Source organism: Homo sapiens, chromosome 11, assembly GCF_000001405.40.
Source record: "Homo sapiens chromosome 11, GRCh38.p14 Primary Assembly".
Lineage (NCBI taxonomy): Eukaryota > Metazoa > Chordata > Mammalia > Primates > Hominidae > Homo > Homo sapiens.
The window spans coordinates 104,498,448-104,526,209 of NC_000011.10; positions in this window are offsets into that span (position 1 = coordinate 104,498,448).

Sequence of the window (27,762 nt, forward strand, 5' to 3'; positions counted from 1 at the left end):
GTTTTTCTATGCAACTTGACATTCTTTGCCTCATTTGTTTTGTCAAAACTCTCTCATCCTTTGGCTTTTATGTTCTTCCACGTATTCCTTTCTTGTGTTTTCTTTCTCTTCATAGTTTATTTAAGGATTGAACGTAAGCATTCCCTAAACTCTTTGCTTTTGCTCTTTTCCTACTTTTATTTCTTCTTTTCTGTGATCTCACCCACTTATGTGATTGCAAGTATCACCTTCATTCCAGTAGCTTTCAGATCTAGACTTATATTGACTATCTCCATTATAATATCATGCAGGCATCTCAAACTTACCCTATATAAATGCCAACATCATCTTAAACTTCATATTTCACTCCAGAGTCCATACTGAGCTCTTTTTTCTGATGGCTGTTTCTATAGGAATGTTGCTATAGTTCTTCAAGTTACCTGGGTTTAAAATACAGATGTCACCTCAATAAATGCAGTAAAGGCCTTTGATAAAATGCAACATCCAGTTATGTCAAAAACTCTCAATAAATTAGGTATTGGTGGAACATGTCTCAAAATAATAAGAGCTATTTATGAAAAACCCAAAGACAATATCATGTTGAAAGGGCCAAAGCTGGAAGCATTCCCTTTGAAAACTGGTACAAGACAAGGATGCCCTCTCTCACCAATCCTATTCAACACATTATTGGAAGTTCTGGCCAGGGCAATCAGGCAAGAGAAAGAAATAAATCGTATTCAAATAGGAAGAGAGGAAATCAAGTTGTCTCTGTTTGAAGATGACATGATTTTATATTTAGAAAACCACATCATCTCAGCCCCAAAACTTCTGGAAGTGATAGGCAAATTCAGCAAAGTCTCAGAATACAATATCAATATGCAAAAATCACAAGCATTCCTTTACATCAACAACAGGCAAGCAGAGAGCCAAATCATGAATGAATTCCCATTCACAATCATTACAAAGAGAATAAAATACCTAGGAATACAGCTAACAAGTGATGTGAAGGACCTCTTCAAGGATAACTACAAACAACTGCTCAAGAAAATAAGAGAGAACACAAACAAATGGAAAAACATTCCATCTTCATGGATAGGAAGAATCAATATCATGAAAATTGATATACTGCCTAAACTAATTTATAGATTCAATGCTATTCCCATCAAACTATCATTGACATTCTTCACAGAGTTACAAAAAACTATTTTAAATTGCATATGGAATCAAAGAAGACCCCATATAGAGAAGAGCATCTTAAACAAAAAGAACAAAGCTGGAGGCATCACGCTACCTGACTTCAAAATGTACTACAAGGCTACAGTAACCAAAATAGCATGGTACTGGTACCAATACAGACATATAGACCAATGGAGCAGAACAGAGACCTCAGAAATAACACCACACATCTACAACCATCTGATCTTCGACAAACCTGACAAAAATAAGCAATGGGGAAAGGATCTCCTATTCAGTAAATGGTGCTGGGAAAACTGGCTAGCCATATGCGGAAAATGGAAGCTGGTCCCCTTCCTTACACTTTATACAAAAATTAACTCAAGATGGATTAAAGACTTAAATGTAAAACCCAAAACCATAAAAACCCTGGAAGAACACCTAGGCAATACCATTCAGGACATAGGCATGTGCAAAGACTTCATGACAAAAATGCCCAAATCAATTGAAACAAAAGCCAAAATTGACAAATGGGATCTAGTTAAACTAAAGAGCTTCTGCACAGCAAAAGAAACTACCATCAGAGTGAACAGGCAACATACAGAATGGGAGAAAAGCTTTGCAGACTACCCATCTGACAAAGGTCTAATATCCAGAATTTACAAGAAACTTAAACATAAAACAAGAAAAAACAACCCCATCAAAAAGTGGTCAAAGGATATGAACAGACACTTCTCAAAAGAAGACATTTACATGGCCAGTAAACATATGAAAAAAAGCTCAACATCACTGATCATCAGAGAAATGCAAATCAAAACTGCAATTAGATACCATCTCACACCAGTCAGAATGGTGATTGTTAAAAAGTCAGGAAACAATAGATGCTGGCGAGGCTGTGGAGAAATAGGAATGCTTTTACACTGTTGGTGGGAATGTAAATTAGTTCAACCATTAAGCAAGACAGTATGGTGATTCCTCAAGGATCTAGAACCAGAAATGCCATTTGACCCAGCAAACCCATTACTAGGTATATACCCAAGGAATATAAGTAATTCTACTATAAAGATACATGCACATGTATGTTTATGGCAGCACTATTTACAATTGCAAGACTTGGAACCAACCCAAATGCCCATCAGTGATAGACTGGATAAAGAAAATGTGGTACATATGCACCATGGAATACTATGCAGCCAGGAAAAGAAATGAGATCATGTCCTTTGCAGGGACATGGATGAAGCTGGAAGCTATCATCCTCAGCAAACTAACACAGAAACAGAAAACCAAACACCGCATGTTCGCATTCATAAATGGGAGTTGAACATTGAGAACACATGGACACAGAGAGGGGAACAACACACACCAAGGCCTGCTGGGGAGTGAGGGTTGGGAGAGGGAAATTAGAGGATGGATCAATAGGTGCAGCAAACCATCATGGCACACGTATACCTATGTAACAAACCTGCATGTTCCCCCCTCTTTTTTTTAGAAGAAATAAAAAAAATAGAGATGTCACTTTGCCCTCTCCTAGTAATTCAATAATCATTTCCAAAATATTTTCAACACTTTCAAATTTTATGTTGATAAAATCTTTCATTTTCTTTCCTTTAAATGTCATGGCTACTACCCCATTTCATACTCTACGAACTACTGCATAAAGTCAAGTAAGTTGTGCATCGCACACTTTCAAGGGTTCCATTCACATAGAATAGGATTTGAATAGTGTTCCTTAATGTTTTGTACTGCAAAACCTGCAGAAATGCATGCAGCTTCCTTGTAAGACCTTACCACCTGAACCACTGATGCAGGCTCATACACCACTCTTTGAACTTGTAATCTTCTATTTGAACTAAACCACACTGCCAACGATCTGTCTTAAAGTTTAGTCCCAATCATACCTTTGTTCTACTTGAAAGTCTTCAATGTCTTTACCGTATCTGAAGGCATCAACTTCTTAATGTTGTAATAAAGGACTTTGTCTAAATGCCCCTAACTTCCATTCAAACAACCAAAAATGGATCTTGTGCGCTTCTGAAGCACAATTACCTTTTGGAATATCGGCATTAATTGAATAAGGACAGTTTGCTATTTGAGATACAAGCTGGTTGCTATTTCACATACAAATTGGAGCTAATTTAAATACAAAGGGACTATTTCAGCTATCTAAGGAAGAGTAAAAAGAAACACATCACAAAATAAAAAGTGAAACAAATCTCATAAAGTTTGGGAACCAATTAACCTCTTCTGCATTCCAGTACCTAGGATTCAGGAGGTTTACCTCTAGCTGTTTTCTCTGGACTCAGCTCCCAGCAGCTCTCAGTATCCATGCATCTCAGTTGAAAATACAAAATCTGAAGAGCCTGAATGGTCTAGCTTACATCAACCTCCACCTCAGCTATGGGGAGTGGGCCAGAGCACCAAAGTGCACAGATAGGGACTCACCCATGTGCTTTGGGGTAGTTCCTGCAGGAGCAATAATTAAAGGTTTTATTAATACTAATTCTTCCATGAGGCATCTCTCCTTCATTGAATCAGTGACTGTTATAATCCATTCTAGGGCCATCTTACAGTGATTTCCTTTATTGAAACACCCCTTGATCATCTTAAGAAAGTGTGACCCTGTTTCCTCTGAATTCCATAGAAGATGTATGTATTTTGTCAAACATTATATTTATTTATTTTTATATATCATATCTGTGTTGACAGTGCACAGCCCCACCAACTCATTAACTCTTTCAGGTAAGTTTTATTGTCTCACTTGTCTTTGTATATCATCCCATTCATTTAGCATGTACAGCAATATCTACCTTAGAGTCAGTTCTCAGTAAATAATTGTTAGAGTGAAATGAATTTAAAGTAAGATATCTTAAGTTGTTGTATCCTAAGTCTCTTCAAATTACAGAAGAAGAAATCCAACCTGGTTTTGAAGATCATTCTCTTCCACTCTACTCTGCACTCTTCTTCCTTCCCTGACTGTCCCCCAACTCCAAACACCTTTTATAAAGTTCCGTGATGCTGCCTCAGAAAATATTCTAGAGACAAACAGTATCTCCATCAGGCATCCCTTAACTTGTCAGTCTGGATTTTCTTCTTAAGTACATTCCCCCAACACTTTCAACCAAATGTAATTCAGAGTACGTTCCATCTAAATTATTGATGCCTAGATTCTGAGATGTAACATTTTGAATTAAAACCAGCCACTTAATTACACTGCTTGATGCCTGATTATCCAAGACACTGATTTGTATTTCTGTGGGAGTGATCATTTTTGGAAGCCTGAGGTGCAATATTTCTATCTGCTGTCTCTGTCTTATGGGTAGATTTACATATTGGACTAAATGCAGTTCTCATTTTGATGAGATTTAAATTAATTATACCTACTAAAGGCTTATTTCAAAATGCCCAGTTGCATGGTCTGCTGGAAGAATTGTCACTAAGTTTTCTAAGTTCAACTTAGGTGACAAAAAAAAAAAAAAACAAAGAATGAAACCTGAGTGTTTTTAAAACACAAATTTTTTGTTGTAACCCAATAAAATTTGCCACAGAATGAGACATGTATAGTTAATTAAATGCATTACTGAGATTGGACTGCATGATAATTGCATAAAAAGAGTAAGCATTTCATGTTAGTTATTATAAATAATATAATTTTCCAAACTAAATGTATTTGAGATTGGCTTAAAGCAAAGAAACAATTTAAGTCACACTAAGAATAGTTGTGGTTATCACCACATTGTTGTGTTCCTAATTTAAATACAGGACAAAATGCCAAGGAAAAAAGGGGATGATATGTCCCACAAAACAGCTTGTAATATGTCAGTCCTCATGTTAAAGAGCTTTGGAAATGGATCTGGTAGCAGAATTGAGCTGCCAAGACATAGCTTTTAACTGTTTTACTCTTGTGGCAAAAAATGCCCAGTAAATTATTGCTATGTATTAGTGTTGCCATTAAGTTGTTGTTAAAATGCACATGTATGTGCTGAATTAGCATCAAGTGCTCTGGCAAGTAGTGCATTCTCTATACGTAGTAGATTTTTTTCATTAAGTGTTTTGACATTAAATGAATGCCATCTGTAAACATCATGGAAACCTGGAGTTACTATGGAAACAGATGATGGGGGAGACCTCAGGGGAGAACCCCCACAAATACTAGCTGTGAGATTTTCTTCCTTAGTTCTCTCCTGATTTACCCAGCTTCTTGGGATTAGTTTGTCATTAATGTCCTGACAGTGAAATTTCCAAAGTGCTTTGAAGGGCTTATTTTTCTATCACTACCCCAGCTATTTAAAATCGAGTAAACACCATCAGGCTCCATTCACTTACGCAAGGACTCATGATTCTAATTGCCATTCCCTAAGTATTATATATTGTTTGCACAAAATAGCATTGCTTTGCCTTCAGATAATCAGTTCAATGACAGCTGCAATGAGTACTCCTCCTACTATTCAGCATCAGGTGCATCCTCATAGCTTTCCTGTCTTCCTTTTGTGAGTGATAATTATCTCAGTCTTTTGATCTTAATATTTATGCTGAAACATCTGTATTCCATACACTATGATGGCAGAAGGCACCTGGATTTCTTCTGTTAGGCTTATATTGCTGGCTTTCTTCTGCTTTACTACCTTTTCCTCTTCAATATAACAACTAAAGGAATAAGGCCATTAGCCGTCTTCTTTGTACATTTTAGGGCAGTGCTGGTGAGGTAATAGATGAACTTCAGCATTTCAGTGGCTTGATAAAATAGACATTTATTTCTCACTCATGTAAAGTTCAAAGTGAGAGATCCTGATTGGTAGAGGCTCTCATCCAAGCAATGATGCAGAAATCCAAGTTTTTCCATTTTGTGACTCTGTTAACTTCAATATGTGGCTTCCAAGATTGCAGCAGTTTTCTGTATTTCAGTCAGCCAAAAGAGAAAGAGATGTGAAGAAGCATGTATGGGAGATTTTCATGAGCCACCCTACAAGTGAGACACATTGACTCTGCTTGCCTTCTATTCACTAAAATTTGGTCACATGACTCCGTTTACCTATAAGGGAGAGTGGAAATTAGTAGTCCCCCTATGTACCCCAAAATAAGAGGAAGAAAGTTTGATGAACAGCTAATCAGTCTTACTTTACTATGTGAAAGTTGCATTAAGGCATTTAGTTGATTAAGGGTATATTTTAGTAAATTAGTCTTTTGGTTCACTTAATACAGCTTTTACTGTGCTGGTTAATGACTGCAAATAGTTCGGAATATATTGGATCTTCAAGCTGTACTAAAATTGAGAGGAGAAGTAAAGCATGAACCCCACAACAATTTAGGAGAGAGCACATAGAGGAGTAACGAGGGAGGAAGGCACTGACAGCAGGATCAGTGAATGGTCAATGCCATTTTGTAAAAGGCCGATGGGGATGAAGCCCTTAGGGATGGCTTTGGTTGCCAAATGGCAGAAATAGTGTCTCTGTCATGAGTCTTTTGTTTGTGAGTACAGGGTTCTCTATGATCTAGGCAAAGCGAAATGTACTGACAGAATATAGATATAGCTCATTGAATTATTCTTTTATTTTTATTCTCTTTCTTCTTACTCTCTACACCTAAACTAACTTTGCTTTTCAGTGTATATGGTATCAGATTGCTGCCCTAGCAGTAAAACTACTGTAGGACATCCAAATTAGTGAGTAAAATTTCAGTCTTTACTGCCAATTGATTGGCCAAATATAGCTAAATATCTTGGTTCAATCCATAGTAGCCAGGAGGTCAGAATCAGTTTATTCCTTCACTCATTCAAGTTGTACTGAGCACATTCTATGCCCTAGACACTATTGTATAAATTTAACATAAACGTGGTTTTAGGGCCCAGGTGTGTGTGTATGTGTCTATTAATAAAAGGGGGATATTGGTTGAGCAGACACACCAAGGGTTAAAACTTACAGTTTGATTGTCCAATACTTACGGTGTATATATGTGTATGTGTTTTTAATTTTGCAGGCCAATGTTTAAAAATATGAAAAAATAGCATCTATATTTTAAAAATCAATTAAAAAATAATTTTCCTGTGTCTCTAGGCATAAAATGGACAAATAGGAATAGAGGATGAACTTAAGGATGAAAGCTTATTAAACAAATTTGACAAAAGATAATGTCTTACATTTCTTTTAAATTAATGTAGTTATGGGCATTTCTTTTGTGATTTCATGTTACTGAAAAAGGATTTGTTTTATGACATGCCATCAGCTGTTACCAGTCAAAAGCTGTGATATAAAATGGAAAAAAACTCACACATGTACATGTGTAAATATATATGTATGTGTAGATGTATAGATACATAATATGTGTGTATATATATATATGCGTGGATGAATGTATGTGTGTGTGTGTATAAATAATTGTGGAAAAGTTTGAGAATCTTTATCCAGGTATGATCCTAAATCAGGATAGAAATGGGAATGCCCTTTGCAATAAAAAAAATAGTGCAGTATTTCTGGACAGGACATGAATTATTTTATAAAGCGTATAAGTTTATTGTTTCTATAATAAGTAGTATGAAAATTAAGACTAGGTATGTCTTCTTTACTAAAGCCTGCAAATGACAGATAGAGAATAAGATAGTACCAGGAGTGTGGACTCTGCAAACCAACTGTGGAACATGACCCTGACATCTTTGTAGTTAGAAAACCAGTCTGCTTGAAATTATGTTTCAATCATTAGCTTCTTTATTCTTATTAAAGCATTTCCTTCATATATATGTGTGTATGTCTGTGTGTGTATATCTATTATGTGTGTGTGTGTGTGTGTGTGTATTTTCCCCTAGAAGGTTGTCTTGAACCATCAACTAAAACATATATATTTTATTTAGTTAAATATATATATGATATACATATGTAACTGAAATATACATACATATTTAAATAAATATATTTATATTTTTATATGTGTATATATGTTTATTATATATAACTAAAACAATATCTACATTATATATACATAATATATACATATATACAAATATACATATGTTATGATATACATATATAACTAAAATACAATATATACATCACATATACTTAAATATATAAACATATTTAGTTAAATATATACATTCATTAAATATATATTGTGTATATATATTATGTTTTAGTTATATATGTATGTCATATATATGTATATCATGTATATATTTCCCCCCAGAGGCTTGGATTGAACCAGTAACTAAAACAAATGGAGCAGCAAGCTGAGTTTATGAGAGCATGGGACTATTGTGTCCATCACAATGGGTCAGGTTCTGGCTTGTGGCCTCACAAATGTCAGAGTCACAGTGGTCAGGAGAGAAGCTTTGACAATTCAGTAAACCTACCATGATGATTAGAAAATAACCGTAGTAACAATAGCATCCATTTGGGCACACATGATGGATCAGACAGTGTAATAGAAACAGTTGACATATTTATTAAATGTAATCCCAATGTTAGCACTTAAAAATAACTATTTTTAATTTCATTTTGCATATGGTAAAACTAAATAACAGAGAAGTAAAAAATAATGCCTAAAACATTGCCTTAAATATATCTAAGCCTGAGCTGTCTAATATGGTAGCCATTAGCCACATGTGACTATTTTTTTCAGTGGGGATGGTGGATTATTTATTTATGGTAAAAACTCTTATCCTGAAATTACCCTTTTAATGAATCTTCAAGGGCACAATACAGTACTTTTGACTATAGGTACTATGCTGTGTAGAAGATCTCTGAAACTAATTCATCTTTTTTTTTTTTTTTTTTTGAGACGGAGTCGCGCTCTGTTGCCCAGGCTGGAGTGCAGTGGCACGATCTCTGCTCACTGCAAGCTCCGCCTCCCGGGTTCATGCTATTCTCCTGCCTCAGCCTCCCGAGTAGCTGGGACTACAGGCGCCCGCTACCACACCCGGCTAATTCTTTCGTAGTTTTATTAGAGACGGTGTTTCACCATGTTAGCCAGGATGGTCTCGATCTCCTGACCTTGTGATCCGCCCGTCTCGGCCTCCCAAAGTGCTGGGATTACAGGCTTGAGCCACCGCACCCGGCCACTAATTCATCTTTTATAAGTGAAACTTTACACCAATTGAACAACAATTTGTCCACTTGTGACTATAAAAAATAAAAATTAATTACAATTAAATAAAGGTAAAAGTTTTGACCCTCAGTCATACCATTTACATTTCCAGTGCTTAATGGTCACATGTGGCTAGTGGCTGTCATGTTGATCAACACAGATATAGAACATTTCTATCATTTCAGAAAATTCAACTCTGTGCTGAAATTGTCAATTATAGAAAAGCCTAGGCTCAAACCCATGTTGTCACAAGGGCTGTGCCCTTTTTCAGTAATACACGAATAATACTTATATTGATTCAATTTAGGTATTTTACTTATTTACTTATTTATTTATTTTCTCTTTTAAGAGACAGGGTCTCACTCTGTTGCCTAGGCTGCAGTGCAGTGGTGATGCCTCACGTTAGCTTTGGCCTTATAAGCTCAAGGGATCCTCCTGCCTCAGCCTCCCAAGTAGCTGGGACTAACAGGCATGTGCCAACACAGCCAGCTAATTTTTTAAAATTATTTTGTAGAAACAGGGTTTTGCTATGTTGCCCAGGCTGGTCTCAAACTCCTGAGCTTGAACAATCCTGTTGCTTCTGCCTCCCACAATGTTAGGATTACAGGTGTGAGCCACCGTGCCTGGCCTCAGTTTCGAAAGTTTAATTCCCAAAGTATTGGTCTATTTAATCATCATGTTCTATTGCTTTAGAAACTAAAAAACATAAAAATAGATTTAATTATTTTAGTGTTTATTTGATCATGAATCATTTCTAATTATGAAGTTATTAGTTTTTCCTATATTCATCGTTAAAGGGTTAATTAGACTGTAATTTACCTACAAAACACTTATGACCAAAATATTCACAGAGTGCTTATCAAAATCATTCCTGCATTCTTCAAATATTTATGTGCAGACTTTTCTATGTCTTGAGGGTATAGTGCTGCCCCAAACAGACAAAAACCCCTGCCTTTAAGAACTTTCATTCTACTGAGGAGACAGACAAGTGTATTTTACATATATATATATATATATATATATATATATATATATATATCATATTAGAAATTGATATAATAACATTTATTTAGAAATAAAAGAAAGAGGTATAGTGAAGGTTGCAATTTCAAATATGTGTTAGATATTACAGAGAGGATGACATCCGAGTATTGATGTAATATAGCTGATGAGAATTTGGGGGAGGAATGGTCATGTCTTGCAGACAAGGATAAAGACTCTGAGGTGAGGTGTAAGTGTGCCCAGTGAGTTGTAGGATGTCAAGAGAGGCTGGAGCCTTGGATAAGAAGCGAAGAGGAGTAAAAAATAAAGTTGGCAAATAAGTAGGGGAGGAGTGAAATTTGGGCAAATATCTTGGGTGATGTGGGTTGTTTAAAATATTTGTCTTTTACTCTAAGAGATGAGGAGGCAGAGGTATCAGAAGGAGATCATTGCAGAGATGGAAAGTAATACGAAACAAGCATTTTATTAAAAGTACATATTTTTGACAAATACCTAGAGTCCTCATAAGTGAATCATATAGTCTTCATATGGCCATATACCTTTATTTAGATTTAACAACTCTTCTTTAGACATCCATTATATTTAAAACAACCTATTACAATTATACTCAAATCAACAAGCACTAGTTAAGAGCACTAGTAATCCTCATTTGGCAGATAGCCTTGTATGTACTTCTAAAACAGATTTTATCAAATGCTTCCCAAAAACTTTAATCAGTTGGAAGATGATTCAGCCCTTTTCCCTTGGTTTTGCTTCTTTTGCCTATCTGATTAGTACAGATAGTGCCAGACTTATAATTTTTTGACTTTGGTGCAAAAGTGATATGCATTTAGTAGAAACTGTATTTGAATACACATAAATCCATTCAATTTTCACTTTCAGTATATAGCATTTAGTAAGTTACATGAGCTGTTCAACACTTTATTGTAAAATTGGCTTTTTTTTGGATGATCTTCCCAAGGATAGGGTAATGTAAATGTTCTGAGCACATATAAGGTAGGCTAGGCTAAGCTATGATACTCAGTGGGTTAGGCATATTAGATGCATTTTTACCTAATGGTATTTTCAACTTAACACAGATTTATTGGGACGTAACACCATTGTAAGTCAAGGAGCATCTGTATTTGATTTAAGCCATAAACTAATGGATTTATTTATTTATTGTCTTACATTCTTATTCGTTTAACCAAACGCTTACTGCGTTACTATGTCAGCTCCCTCAGAAAAAAGTCATTCAGATGCACTTGCTTACTCCAAAAGTTTTCAATCTAATGATAAAAAATAAACAAACATGTAGAAACAAATAGTACTTAACAAAATTATTTACAATCTGTTGGAAATATCTGTGAATGCCAAGCATGGTACTCGATGGTTCCACATATTATCTCAGGTAATTCAACTAGAGATAATGATTTTATTCACATTCTTGTTCTTTAAGAAATAAAAATAGAGTAATTGTAAGTTCTGAGAGGTATTTCTTGATTTACTGTTTTTCTGTGTTCAAGCAAAAGTAATTTTTCCATGCAACTAAAAGACCCATACATTATCCTACTACTAATACTTAAGAATAGAGAAGAGGCAGTATCCTTTAAAACCATAGTTCTGCCTCCAGGCAAGCATCTGCAGGTGTTTTTCTGAAGGAAAGTTACTGAAATCACTGCACGCCAGGGCGGTATGCCCAGTTATGCAAATTAACCTCCAATAACCTTGCAGATATATTTTGGTATTTTGGCTTTTGAAGCCTTTGCAGTTTATGTGACACTGCATCTATTCTCCAGATATAGAATTGTGTTCTTGAGTCTTTTTTTTCCTGTTCATACATTTAGTTCAACACATACTGTCTTTTATTGCTCCTTCTGGTATTCTGTTAGAGGAAATCATATACACATATGAAATCTACAGGCATTCTACTTAAACAAGTAGCAGCTAAATATTCTGTATGCCAGTATGGACTTTGTACTACTTGGAATATTTGGTTTGTTTAATAATGCATCTGGAGATTACCAGCTCTAGACCATTTCAAAATAGCTGTAACACTGGATTTACTCACAACCTTCAGGACAGATGAGTTTCTGAAGTCCTTTAACTGATTGTTAAGTTGTTTATCTGCTTCTCATACAGGGTATAAGGGTATTAACAAGAAATGAGAATAATAGGGCACGTCACCTAAACTCAGCTGACTTACAAACTAATTTATCTAAACTAGTTATCTAAAAACATTTTTTTGATGTGAATATGGTAACTGATTTTTTTAATGATTAATTCACTTAAAATTTGATCTAATTTTGAGTGGGTCATATTTTGTATCCACTTTTACATATGAATAATTACATGAATTCAATAATTTAAAATTTTTTTTTCCTCAAAGGTCTTCCGATTTATGTGTTTCAAACTATATTTTATATAATTGCAGTGCTATATGAACACTAGGGTTTACCAGTATTCTTGTGGAAATAGACTCCCTATAACATCTTGAGACCTTTCGATTGAAACATAGCTTTAAAGAAGGGTCTGTATCAGTTAAGATAGTCTAGTTTGTGCTATGATAATGATCCAATATTTCCGTGTTTTAAGATAGACGCGTACTTTTCGCTCATGCTATGGGTATGCTGGAAGTCACTGGGGAATTCTGGTCCATGCTGTCCTCATCTGGGGACCTCGAGTAAGGGAAGGCTATCATCTGTATTTGTTGTTGATTACTGCTATACAGGAAGATAAATAATTGTGCTCCACCTCTTAAAGTACTCTGCCTGGAAGATGCATTTATCTTTGCACATGTTTCATTGGGTAAAACAAGTCACATGGCTATGCTTAACTTCCTGGGACAGGTAATTAATTATAGTTCTACCATGTTCCTAGAATGAAGAGAACCAGATATATACATGAGTGACTAGTATCAATGTCTACCACAGGTTATTAAAGATCAGAAAGAAAGAAAAAAGAGAAGAGGGGAGAGGAGAAGGAAGATGGAAAGGGAAAAAGATAAAAACAGAGAAAGGAGGGAGACGGAGAAAAGGGATAAAGAGAGAAAAGGAAGGAAGGGAGGGAGGGAGGGAGGGAAGAAGGTAGGAGGGAAGGAGGTAGGGAGAGAGGGAAACCTGGCTTAAATACTTGAAAGGTGCATCTGTGTGTGCATGTCTCCTTTAATAGCAATACACATATATGTTGATTAACACATGCAACTTGTTAGGTGGCTAAAAAGGCTTCACAGAAGAGGTAACATTTTAGCATCATCTTTTTTTTTTCTTTGAGACAGCTCTGTTGCTCAGGCTAGAGAGTGCAGCCACATAATCACGGTTCACTTTAGCCTCTGCTCTGGGGCTCAAATGATCCTCCAGCCTCAGCCTCCTGAATAGCTAGCTGGTTCCACAGACACATGCCACCACTCCAGCTACATTTCATTTTTTGCAGAGATGGGGTCTCACTATGTTGCCCAGGCTTGTCTTGAACTCCTGGCCTCAAGTATTCTCTTACCTCTGCCTTCCAAATTGCTGGGATTACAGGTAAGAGCCACTGCACCTCACTACTGCATGGTCTTGAAGTAGAGGAACAGGAATTTCTAGGCAGAAAAAGAGGTTAAAGGAATTCCAGGCAAGATACTATACTAGCATGACTAGAGATGTGGGACCAAGAAAGAAGAGGGTGATTTAAGAAGCTGGAGAAAATGTTTATTTATTTTATTTTATTTTTAAATCACTGGATGTGATAGCTTAGATTATTGGTCATCAAATATTTACTGCCCTGTCCTTCAGCTGTGAGACAAATATACATTTCTGCCTCATTGATTTATTTCAGGTTTAGCTATGTGACTTTCCTGGCTAATGGAATGCAGAATCGACAGGGTAGAAATTCTGAGCTTTGACTTTAAGAGGTGTCATGTGTTTCAGCTTGCCCCCGGCAGCATGTGACCTCCTACATGAAAAAATGTGCCTAGATCTGCTGTCTCTCGAGCTGAGCCCCAGAATGAGATATGTGAAGCAAAGCCAGCCCAGCTAAACAGCAGACCCACAGCAACCTTTAGACTTATGAAGGGGATAATACATGCTCATTATTATTTTACTTAATTTTGTGGTGTTTTCTTTATTATATAGCATTATTTTGTCCCTAGTTGACTACTACAGTAGGAAATGTATAGTTTATATTTTTAAGATTTTTAAGGCAGAGTTGGGTAAATATGGTTTTCAACTCAATTAAGACCGTAAATAAGACTATTTTTTTAAATGAGTAAAAAAGTTCTGTAATATCTTTTTACTTATATGTAAGATAAATGTGTGAATGAGGAATGGGGAGAGGGCATAGATTTGACTTCTTGAAGAAAAATAATCAGATGTGGTAGCTTTTTGTTTGTTGTTCTGCAAGCTTCTGCTGGATGTAATAACCAAGACAAGAAGGAAGTTGCCTATGCTGGCTTTCTTTTTTCTGTCACCTCCATGGTCTTACCTAATCAACCTGAGTTATGGGGTTAACAGATTAGTGAAAGTTGAAATAATTCTCCATGCCTTAAATTAAGCCTTATCTGAATTACACATAGCATCAGTTTCTTACATGTGAATGTCACATTTCTCATTTTTTAAAACAAATTTTACTGGGCTTAATAGCTAGGTGATGGGTTTGTCTGTGCAACAAACCACTATGGCACACATTTACCGATGTAACAAACCTGCACCTCCTACATATGTGCCCTGGAACTTAAAGAAAAGTTGATTTAGAAACACCTGTAATATAATAGCTTAAAATAGCTAGGCTGTGGAGAAAAACAGAATTGAGTTTGAAATGACTCTACCACTTACTAGCTGTGTTGCTATATTAGTCTGTTCTCATGCTAATAAAGACATACCCAAGACTGGATAATTTATAAAGAAAAAGAGGTTTAATGGACTCAGTTTCACATGGCTCGGGAGGCCTTAACAATCATGGCGGAAGGTGAGTGAAGAGCAAAGTCGCATCTTACGTGACGTCAGGCAAGAGAGAGTGTGCGTGGGAACTACCCTTTATAAAACCATCAGATCTCATGAGACTTATTCACTATCAAGAGAACAGCATGGGAAAACCTGCCCCCATAATTCAGTTACCTCCCACTGGGTCCCTCCCATGACACCTGGGGATAATGGGAGCTACAATTCAGGATGAGATTTGGGTGTGGACGCAGCCAAACCATACCATTTGCCTTAGGTAAATTATTAAATTTATTTAAGCTTGAGTTTTGTCCTATAAAATAAGGGTAGAATATTATCTATCACATCTGGTTGTTTTAAGCTAATGTATATAAATGCATTTAGCACAATGCATAGTACAAAAGGAAGAGCAATGATGATGACAATGAAAATGGTTTTCTGTTGAACATTTTCATGAGAATTAGAAGACAGGAAAGGAAATACTTGCTTATGGTGTCATCTTACCTCCAAATTCTAAACTTTGTATTACTTGACTTTTGATAAACTAAAGGGGAAAATGAAAAAGAAAAAGGGGAGAAAATATGAACAATTTGTTCATGTGACTTGTTACTCTTGAATAGCACACACAAAAAGAGGCTTCTAACCTGATCTAAAACTATATTATTTTCAGTACACAATTGCATTTTTGGTAGAAGTACAGAAAGTAAAACTATTTTCAATAAATAATAGGAGGTTAGAATAATTGAAAACTTCCTGGTACAATGATCTTACTTAAAATAATGTTTCCCAGCATGCCCAAATTTGAATCAACTAGATAGAATATCTTTCACTGATTCATTAGGAACTCAAAGCCTAATTGTTTCCTGTTCTTTATCAACATAAATACCTCATCACATATTTCACTGGACAGACAAACAGATTGTTGAAACTAGTGTTATACTTTTGTCTGGGCCCACACAGCAGTAAACTTTCCTCTTGTCAAATAGGCTATCATTTGGAAAATTACATGAGATACATCAGAGAACAAAATACTTAAAATCATGTAATTAGCTTTAGAAATGAGGACTTTGTGAGTGTAAATGGCAACATTTTGGCAGAATTTAAAAAAATCAGCCTTGATCATAGATTAGGGTACATTAACCGTGTACCTAGGTTAAAAGAAATTGAAGTTTTCCATTATCATTTCTTTTTGGATTTTGTTTCTTCTTCTTTCCTTTGCATTTTTTTTTCAGCTTTGATAATGGCTCCTCTGGCCAATTCTGATAATGTAGGTCTTCAGGTTAATGTGTGTGTGTGTGTGTGTGTGCATGTGTGCGTGTGTAAGTTATGCGATGTATGTTCAAAATGTACGAGTTGCTGTTCTGGCTGTCATACATAAGAATAAGGCATGTATCCCCAAAAGTTCTTCAGATCAAATGCAAGAAAATAACTTTATTTTTGAGACAGAGTCTGATGAGACAGGAGCTATAGTAGAGTAATCACAGCTTATTGCAGCCTCAAACTCTTAGGCCCAAGTAATCCTCCAGTCTTAGCCTCCATAGTAGTTAGAATGACATGCTGCAACCTGAGACCTTGTTAATTTTGATTTTTGTAGGGATGGAGTCTTGCTATGTTGAAAAGGTGGTCTCAAACTCCTGGACTCAAGCAATCCTCCTGCCTAAGCCCCCCAAAGTGCTGAGAGTATAGGCATGAGCCATGGTGCCCAGCCTTCAAAATAACTTTTATTAGGCAAGGTTCTTTGTTGCAAGCACAACCTGCTTCTCATTGCCTTAAGCAATAAAAAGAATGTATAGAACCTGGCAATGAAGTGTCTCAAAAATAATGAATACTCGATTTGGGCATAACTAGTTAGAGTTAATGTTAGAACCAACAGAGATTGGCCCCTCTCTGCCTTTCAGGTCTAATCTCCTTTGTTCAGACTTCATTTCCACTTACTCTTGTGGCTTGATGGCTCCTGGCAGCTCCAAGCCTTTCTGTTAGAAATTCCAGATGTACTTATGTCTATATAAGGTATTTATATTTTTCATGTTCCTTTATGGCTCTAAATGCTTTTCCTAATCCATAACATGCCCTTTCCTTTTTTCAGCTGATTACTGATTAATATTTATTCAAAAAGTAGTTCAGATTTCATCTCCTTCAGGAAGGCTTCCCTGATCAGCTCAGTCTGAATTTCTTAATCATGTGCTAATTACACCATCTTTTTTAGTTGCTTCTAGCACTTATTACATGATTGAAAGTGTCTGTCTTTTATGTTTATATTCTCATTGTAAAATATGACACCTATCAGAATGTAGATGCTCAATAAAAACACATTTTTCAAAATATTCCAATTTTTATCTTCATGAAAATAATCTATTTTTGTTAGAAGTAACTATTAAAAAATAAGGGGCCAAGTGCTGTGGCTCATGTCTGTAATCCTAGCACGTTGGGAGGCCAAGGAGGCTAGACCACCTGAGCTCAGGAGTTTGAGACCAGCGTTGGCAACATAGCAAAACCTTGCCTCAATAAAAAAAATTGCCGGATGTGGTGACCTAAACCTGTTGTCCCAGCTACTTGGGAAGCTGAGGTGGGAGGATCGCTTGAGCTCGGGAGGTCAAGGCTTCGATGAACCATGATCATGCCACTGCACTTCAGCCTGGGTGACAGAGTGAGACCCTGATTCAGAAAATAAATAAATATATAAATAAATAAGATATTTTTATTTTCATAGATATCACTTTCTTGATTAAATGTTAAATAAACATATTTATAATTTAATAATTTGTAAAATGCCTCTCCTACCCTTCTCTCTTTATATATCCCATACTCCATATCTATTTGTATTAGTCAGGCTGTGTAGGAGCATTAATTCATTTAAGCAGATTATTATATATCTATCTGGAGAAAAATAGTGATTTTTCTCTAAAATTGTATATCAGGTGAGATTTCTTAGAGAAGACCAATAGAAGAATCAATAATGAAAGACTATATTCGAATAGGTGCTAACTATTCTTTATATTATTATGAATAATAACTTATTCTTGGTCCTTATGTCCCTTTCTCCATCTTCTTTTTCTTTATTATTTTTTCCTCTTCTCCTTTTCTCTCCCTCATCTTTCTCCTTCTCTTCCTCACCCTCCTGCTATTTCTCCTTCAACATTATTGTCATCATCCTTCTCCTCCTCCTCTTCATCATCATCTACATGTGGATAGCTATGGGCTTCAAACCCAAGTGCCTAAACAGTCTAAGCCAGGAATATGAATGCATGAAGTCAACTGGTATAAGGTTAAAGGTACTAAACTTTGGATAAGTTACTAAACAAAATTCCTCTTTAGCCACATTACATTGTAAAAATTAAAGCAAGCAAATAAAAAACAGAACAGCAAAACAAAAACAACAAACAGCCAAACAAATATACCAGAGTGCGTTCTTCCCCATAGTTGCCAATTTGCTTGCTATCTTTGCTTTGCAGTCTACCATGGCCTCCAAGAATAGGTTAAAAAAACTACATGACCGAAAGTTGTGGACCTGACTACTGGTAACTTCTGTCTTACCAGAAGCAGTATAATAGAGTGGGTCAAGAACAGTCACTGGGACCAGATATCATCAGTGTTGTCTCCTGCCCCCATTTATGTAACTTTGGTCAAATTACATGACACCTTGTGTGTCTGTTTCCTCATAGGGTCATGGTGATAATTTCATAGGTAATTAGTATAAAATTCTAGCTAGAACTGTATCAGGTTTGGAGTAATATATGAGTCCAATTAAGCTTCAGTATCCTTAGCTATGCAATGAAGGAATGAACCTAAATGATGATTTCTAACATATATTTCTGTCTGGACCCTTTATGTCCCTAAGCATTTTTACTCACATTGGATCCAGTGATCCTAACAAAATTATTGCGAGAAAGACTGAAAGATATTAATAATCCCAGTAACAAATAAGGAAGTTGAGGCTCACAAAGGTTACAATTGTTTACCTGATACTACTTGAGCAATATATATACAGTTGAATTCATATCTTTCTATAGTGGCGGCTGTGGTCTGTAACCATCTCTCACCTTCAAGACCAAGACCTTCATTTGCTCAGTTACTGGAAATTTTGGCAGGTGACAGGTCTCAGCAGAGTCCTCCTCCAGAATGACCATCTGCTGAAGAGAGTCACCTCACCCAAAGCCCTGCTTTCTTCCTTGGGCAGTGCACATCCAACATCTGGCCATAGTCGGGGTAGAGGTCCAGCCCTCTACCCTTGGTTTGAAAGGACTCTGCAGGGCCTTCTATAGCTTTCCATGGGTTCCTCTGAGGCCACTGCTGTGACTACATCTTGTTTGAACTCCTACTCCTGCTTCCTACTCCTTTTTTTTTTTACTGCCCCACAGGTGTCCATTCAATAAACTTCCTGCATACAAATATCCACCTCAGAGCATCCTTCTTAAATCATCTAACCTGTAACACTTTGGAATCCTTATAGGTCTCTTCTTGTAAGAATGAGGATGAGAAGGCACAAACATAAGCAGAGCAAAGCAGAAATCAGCTCCTGTTTAATATTTTTATAGTGTCATCAAAGTAAAGACCCATTATAGGATTATAATTTTAAAGTTATATTTATAATCCAAAATATTTATAAAATTTAGTCATAAAAATAATAACTTTGACAGAAATAAGATAAATTGAAGTTCAATGAGTTTTAAGACTTTATATTTAAAATTGCTACATGTTGGTGTCTCCAGGTATTGCTTATACTGATTGTGTGTCAACCGCAATAGCTGGTATGTTTTGCTTTTGCTTAAATTAGTCTTGACACTTTGAAATCCTCAGAGTACTAGTTGTAACCTTGGGAAGAAAAATATCTATGCACGTTGCTAATCTACACAATGACTAGGAAAATCACTATTTATTACGAGAAGAAAGTAGACAATCAGTCAAACAATTTCTATTCTGTCTAGTCTAGATTTTGAATAAGCCCAGGAAAGGGGTATCACATTATTGCTAGCATTTTTGGCAGTTTAGGAGCATTTAAATTCAAAGGAATATAAAAGATTGAGGTAACTTAATTATTGCTTCTAAGGGGAAGCTTGATATTAATTATAATACCACCAAGAAAAATTTAATGAAGTGAATTTAAATTAGTAAATACATTTTTATTTCAGTTTAGAGGCTGATTTTTAGAGTCTTCTTTGGATGCAAGGTTTAGCTTTTTTGAATCATTTAGACATTGTTTAAAAAAGCATGATGTGGCCGGGCACGGTGGCTCACGCCTGTAATCCCAGCACTTTGGGAAACCGAGGTGGGTGGATCACCTGAGGTCAGGAGTTTGAGACCAGCCTGGCCATGTGGTGAAAGCCCATGTCTACTAAAAATACAAAAATCAGCAGGGCATGGTGGCAGGCGCCTGTAATCCCAGCTACTCGGGAGGCTGAGGCAGGAGAATCACTTGAACCTGGGAGGCGGAAGTTGCGGTCAGCCGAGATGGCACCATTGCACTCTAGCCTAGGGGACAAGAGTGAGACTTTGTATCAAAAAAAGAAAAAAAAAAAAGGCATTATCTGTGCCCTCCAATTTTGATGCTATTTTCTTACCTTTAGTATTTAGTTGAATATGTTGTCATGTTGACATTTATTTCTATGAAAAATGTATAGAGCCTGAAATAAATATCTAATACAAAGAATTATTCAAGGTGTATTAGTTTCCCAGGGCTACCATAATAAATACTACAGACTGTATGGCTTAAATAGCAGAAATGTATTTCCTCAAGTTCTGGAGGCTGGAAGTCCAAAAGCAAAGTATCAGCAGATTTGGTTTCTCCTGAGGTCTCTCTCCTTGTCTTGAATATGGCCACCTTGTCTTGCAAATTGCCACCTTGTCTCATTCTGACCTCACATTCTTGCTCATCAGTCCATTGTTTGTTGTCTATGTGCTAAACTCCTCTTCTCATAAGGACACCAGTCAGAGTGCATTAAGGAATAACCATATGACCTCATTTTACCTTAATTACCTGTTTAAAGACTGTTTTTCCAAATGCAGTCACATCCTCAGATATTGGTGGTTAACACTTCAACATACAAATTTTGGAAAGAAAAAATTCATTTCATAAGAGATGGTAATGCCTATCTCAGCACCACATCAATTCATTGAACATGAATAATGAAAATGAAATGTTCTTGGTTTGATTTAGAGCTATAACATTCACTAAGTGATGCTCAACAGAAGTCAGAACCCTCAACTGCTCTGCCCTAATGGGTGTAAAACTTACATAATAACACCACAAAGAATACATTAATTAAATAAGAGAATGTTTAGGAAGTTTGCTGTGACTATAGAAATCTTCTGGAGGAAACAGATCTCAGCTAGGATCTAAAAGACAAGTAAAATGCAAATAGGTGAACAGGAGAGGAAAGGAAAGGACATTTCAGGAGAGTGAAATGATGTAACTAATGATATACATATAGACAAAGAGCATGGTATGATGAAGATACAGTGAATAAATCAGTCTGGCTAGAATAGAAGGTCACTGAAGGTATTCTGCAGTGGAAAACTATATTAAGAAAATTAAACTGGCAACAAAGTGACGAATAGATTGCAGAGGGAGAGACTAGAGACCAATTAGAATGTTAATGCAATAAGTCAGACAAAGTGATATTGAACTCAGATAATGGTGTTGAAATTTAGACGATGGTAAAGATGCAAGAGTTATTATGAAGGAAATGGTAAACCAGCAATTGTTTTTGAGTATGAGAATTGCATGAGAATTTTCAGAATATTAATTTTGAAATGAATCTGCTTTTTCAGAGGGAAGAGAATGAATTTTCTTTTAGACATATGAAAGGGCCACAGATCACCTAAGTAGAAATATCCAGTATGCTGCTAGAAAATGGAAATGTAACATAGGAGGACATATAAAATGGAGATATATTTGTATAGGTGAAGTGTCCCATATTTTAAGAGTTGAGTGGGTAAGAGCTTATGGAAGATGTGGTTGATAAAGATGTAATATGAGACATTTACAACAAATTTAAGATCTCGAAACTTGCATAATATTATTGGATAACAAGATCCTGAATGTAATTCTACAGATACGGAAATAAGGACATAAAAATGACCAGTTAAATCAAAGAAGTCAAGAATTGCAAAGGGTCATTGATATAATATTGAAATTATCAACATGCTGCTTGCAAATATCAAAGCCAAACCCTAAATTCAACTTGGAAAATAGAGACGGATCCTGATAGCAAGTCAGGTAAAGGCAGCAATGTGTTAAAAAAAATGCCAACTAATATAGTTTTCTATTGATGAGATATAAATGTATTACAGATCAGTGGCCATTTTTGCTCTGTATCCTCACATGGCTCTAACAGTAGTGATACTTTTGAGATTATGACAACATACTTACTCTTTTAAATGATTAATTCTGGGAGTGTTTGTGTTTTCTCTTCCTATCTAGATTATAATCCTCTTTTGAGAAAGATGTTCATTTTATTTCTATAAAGAAACTACTGCAAATTTTGGCACATAGCACTTTTAAGCATAAACTTTCATAAATTTTAAATACTTGAAGACTATAACTAAGGCAATAGTTAATTTAACCTGATGTGCAAGCATGAACATATACATATATGTATACATAGTTCAATATAAATGTGTTTAGAATAATAGAATATTAGATAAAGGAGACAGCAAAGAGGTTATCTAAGCAGTTTATTTTGCACATAATTTAGCTAACTCATAGAAATTTAAATTAAATATATAATATATTTAAATGAATTAATATAATAAATAAAGCCGTTAGAATAATGCATGGCATGTAAGACATGTTCAATGTTCAGTATATATTGGCTATAGTTTATATTTTAAATTATTATCACATTCACATCCCCTTATGCACAAATACATGAGGGAAAATACCTGTAGAAGAAGCTCTTAACTATCAAACAGTCATAAATATTTTGGCCAAGTGTGGTGGCTCATGCCTGTAATCCTACCACTTCGAGAGGCTGAGGCAGGAGGATTGCTTGAGCCCAGGAGCTCAAGACTATCGTGGGCAATATAGCGAGGCCCTAATTTTTTGTAGGGACAAAAAATAAATAAATAAAGTTAGTCAGGCACTGCTGTATGTTCCTGTAGTCTCAGCTACTTGGGAGGCTGAGTCAGGAGGATTGTCTCAGCCTGAGAGATGGAGGTGGTATCACCCATGGCACTTCAGCCTGGGCAACAGAGTGTGATCCTGTCTCAAAATAAAATGAATTTAAAAGGCAATACATAAATGAATACATATTAATTGCCTATTTATAAGAACACTTTTAGTATTAGTAACAAATTGAAAGAATTTGGAAAATTCCGGTTCATGAAAATAGCAGGCTATTTTCTAAGCTAGCATTTCCTTTGTTTCAAACATGAAATAAAGAATTTGAGAATATCATACACTATAAAGTTTGGTAAATATCAAGAAGTGTGATTAGCATTATTTTTACTATGGTCTTCTTAAGTAGCATTATTTAGATGAATATTTGAGATTCATGTACCATTGGATAATTTCTGTTTTATTTATGACAGCATGTTTTCTATGATTTGCCACCCACAAAAGCAATGACTTCCTAAATATCCTACACGATACAAGGATCTAAATGTGGTGCCTGGAAAAGTGAGATCTTATGAGGAAGTGTACATGCCCCTAAGAGATTCTTCTTAAATAAATAGCTGATCCTAATCTGTTAGGAGCTGAGGCCTAGATTACTGTACACAGCCCTCAATGGCAAGGAGAGTTGATTTCAGGCGGCTGCCTGGTGTTTCTCCCTAGCTGGGCTCCTGTTCTTCAGCTTTACTCAGTGTACTCACAGTAGTCCAGTTATTGTACAGCAACAAATTGGGCATGCCACTTTGTATTCTATTGTAGATTTTTATCCTCAGATAAGCAAATTGATATCAGAAAAATATGACAAATTACCAAGTGGTTGGATGACTGAAACTTATAAGCCCAATATTCCATTTTGTCATGAATATTCATATTAATCATATTATTCAAATATTCAAAGATTTTAATAGGAAGATTATTTGGAATTTTATGCTAAACTTAAGTTTGTACGAGTATCTCTTTTAGGGGATGGTATCATTGGATAACATCATATACCTCATATCTTACTGTTAGTAATCAAGCTGAACTGCATGTGAACTTGCCAGATGCCTTTTTTGACTTGTTGCCAACCTTCAGTGAAAACAAGCAGGTTATGTAAGAGATCTAGTTCTGTTCAACCCATTTTATGCTGCACTTCTTAAGGACAGAACACTTAATGAAGGACAGCACACTTAATGAAGGACAGCTTGGTTATGGTTTCCAAAGTCAGTTGATAAACATTAGCCCATATAAGAGGTTATCTGCAATATGCTGCTGACCTTGATCCTGATGCACAGATAATATGATGACACATTTGGCTGAGCACCAGGTTAGCTACCAGCTAGCATCAGGGAATGCTACTACAGTCAAACATAATTATCAATAGCTGCAGCATTTAGCTTTCCTGTTTAATACATCATAGAAAAGAAACAGGAAAGAAGCAAGAGGCAACAGCAGTTCTCTATAGCACCTTGATACACATTGTGAATGTCCACTTTAATGTGTACAGGGAGATGAAATATATTTCACCCATGTCCTACAGCTCACTACGCACTAGGTGGATAGACACTTCACGCAAACTTTAAAAATCTGCTCTACTGACCATTAGATTGTAAATCCTTTGGATCACAAAGAAATATAGCATTTGTTTGCATATGTACAGATACCACCCTATTCCTGATCAAAAATGAACTTCGGTTTCCTTTAGGAAAAATCATTCTTCCTAAAGATGATTATTTCTAAAGATGATTCTTCCTAACAGGGAGTAAAAAAATCATTTTACAGTTTTGACTAGAGCATATTCGGGGGTAGGGAGTAAGCAATGGCAATTTTTAAACTTTCCTGAACATGAAATCCATATCTTCATTTTATAAAGTTTCTTCCTTACACTGATTTAATAATAATTGACTTTCAATATTAAGACAATATCACCAAAAATGAAGTAACAGACATAGCCATTAGACTGGGATTGACAGGAAGAGCCTTAATAATCCTTTTACTTTCACAGAATTTTACAAAGCAATTTCCAAAGTACCAAATCTTTTAGCCTTATGACTCTGTGAAGTGTTATTATACCCAATTATACAAATGACAACTGAGCCTCAGAAAGGTTACATTTAGGTAGCAGGTGGCAAAACCAAGCCAGGAAATTAGCATCCCCTGGAACACAGCATCCTCATACTCCTTCCCACATTTCTCTGCTAGGCAGGATGGGAGTCGAAAAAGTATGATTGCAAAAGTGGAAATTAGTTGCTGAATGTTATAACAAGATAATTTGAAGCTGGGGGATAGAATGGATCATATAACTTCTAGAATCATTAATAGTTAGAGAACCAAAGAATTTGTTTGAATAAAAGCACCAAGATAACACTAAATAATATAACAGGGTCTATATAAATAAAGAAATAGCCATTATTTCAATGCATTAATACCTGAGACTGGCATATTTATATGTATAGATTTCTTTATTTTTATTTTTATTTTTTTCTTTATTTTTATTTAAAAGATTGATCTTCTGAGGAATTCCTCCAAAGCCCCCCAATCAAAGGTTTTCATCATAATTGATGTGATGTGATCATCTTATGTGAAACATCATAAATAAGCAAAAACATTAGAGGAAAATATATGTTTTGAGGGGTGGATTGTTTAGTGCTATAATTATTTGCTTTGGACCCTAGTCTTAGAGTTCTTAAAGGCCTCTAAATGGAGCTTGCATGGAACAGACAAACAAAACATAGCATCCCCAGTGAGCAATTCCCCATATTTTCTCATCAAATCTTGTGCAAAATGCCATGTAGAGGGGATTTGCACATTCTTGCCACAATAGATCTGCCAGGACATTCCAGCTTCTGTCCAGTCACCAGGCAACAGACTTTGGAGCTGATGGTAATAGAAAAAGAAAATATAATTAAAACAGATTGTTGTCCTCAGAGTGATTTCATTTAACTCAAACTTATTTTTATTTAACAAACATTCTTATGCTTGTCATTTCTGGTGAGAACATGAGCTCCCTACTGGTATAGTCTAAAAGTATTCTCTAATTTTTTAGTCAGAATGTAATTGTCTAATTTTTTAAGCATGTATTATATGCTGCAAACTTATATAAGCATTTTGCATCTACTTTCCCAATTCTTTTTTAAAATTTTACTTTTCCATAAGTTATTGGGGTACAGGTGGTATTTGGTTGCATGAGTAAGTTCTTTAGTGGAGATTTGTGAGAACCTGGTGCACCCATCACCCGAGCAGTATACACTGCACCATATTGTTGTCTTTTACCCCTTGCCCCTTCCCACTCTTCCCCCCAAGTCTTCAAAGTCCATTGTATCATTCTTATGCTTTTGCATCCTCATAGTTTAGCTCCCACATATCAGTGAGAACATATGATGTTTGGTTTTCCATTCCTGAGTTACTTCACTTAGAATAATAGTCTCTAATCTTATCCAGGCCATTGCAAATGCTGTTAATTCATTCCTTTTTATGGCTGAGTAGTATTCCATTGTGTGTGTGTGTATATATAAATATATACACACATATATACACACATATATATATATGAATATCAGAGTTTCTTTATCCTAATTTCTTATTCAGAATAAGCAACTGAAGTCCCTCTCTCTGTGACTTTGGGGTAGAGATAGGACTTCTGTATTTTTGCCTCTTAATATGGGCTAAAATAGGTCTCCCCTACGTTCGTATTTTGAAGTCCTAACCCCGAGTTCCTCCAAATGTGACTAGATTGGAGATAGGGCTTTTAAAGGGATGATTAAACTAAAATGAAGCTATTAGGGTGGCCCCTAATCTAATCTGACTGGTGTCTTTATAAGAAGAGGAAATTAAACCAACAAAAAGACATCAGGCATATACATATACAGAGGGCTGGGTATGGAAAAGGCAGCAAGAGGGTGGCCATCTGCAAGCCAGGGACAGAGACTTGGAACAGATCCTTCCCTGAGGAACCTGAGAAGAAACCATCCCTGCCAGCAACTTGACCTTGGACTTTTAACCTTCAGGACTGTCAGAAAATAAATTTCTGTTATTTAAGCCGGCCAGTCTCTCGTACTTTATTATGGCGGCCCTAGTTAACTAATAATTCTCCAGCACCCAATGTAGTGCCTGGCAGGTTGTTGCTGTTTCATTGCTATTGATGAATGAATTTATTCATGCAGGAAACTGCCTCTTCTTGTTCCAAAGCAAAACATCTGAGCAAAATCCTGTATAGCCTCCTTTCTTTTTCTCTTGCCCCAGGACAATCTGATTGAGTGTAAGAAGTAGTTGGGAGCAGAGCATGTACATGTGGGTACTGGTATTGACAACTGTTCTTTGCCATTTACATTACAGATTTCATAGAAAAATTTTATTTACAGATATTATTTTCCCCTTGAAATGTTTTTGGTGTGATAACCACACGAGAAAAAAAAAGTACAGAGATTGCAAAAACAAATGAAAACATACAAGCATAATAATTTTTCCCTTCTGTGGTTTTGTTTTTCCATTTTGTGTCTCATAACTTGGAAAGGGCTTTGGGATTAAAAAAAGAGCTTTGGCTCTCAAACA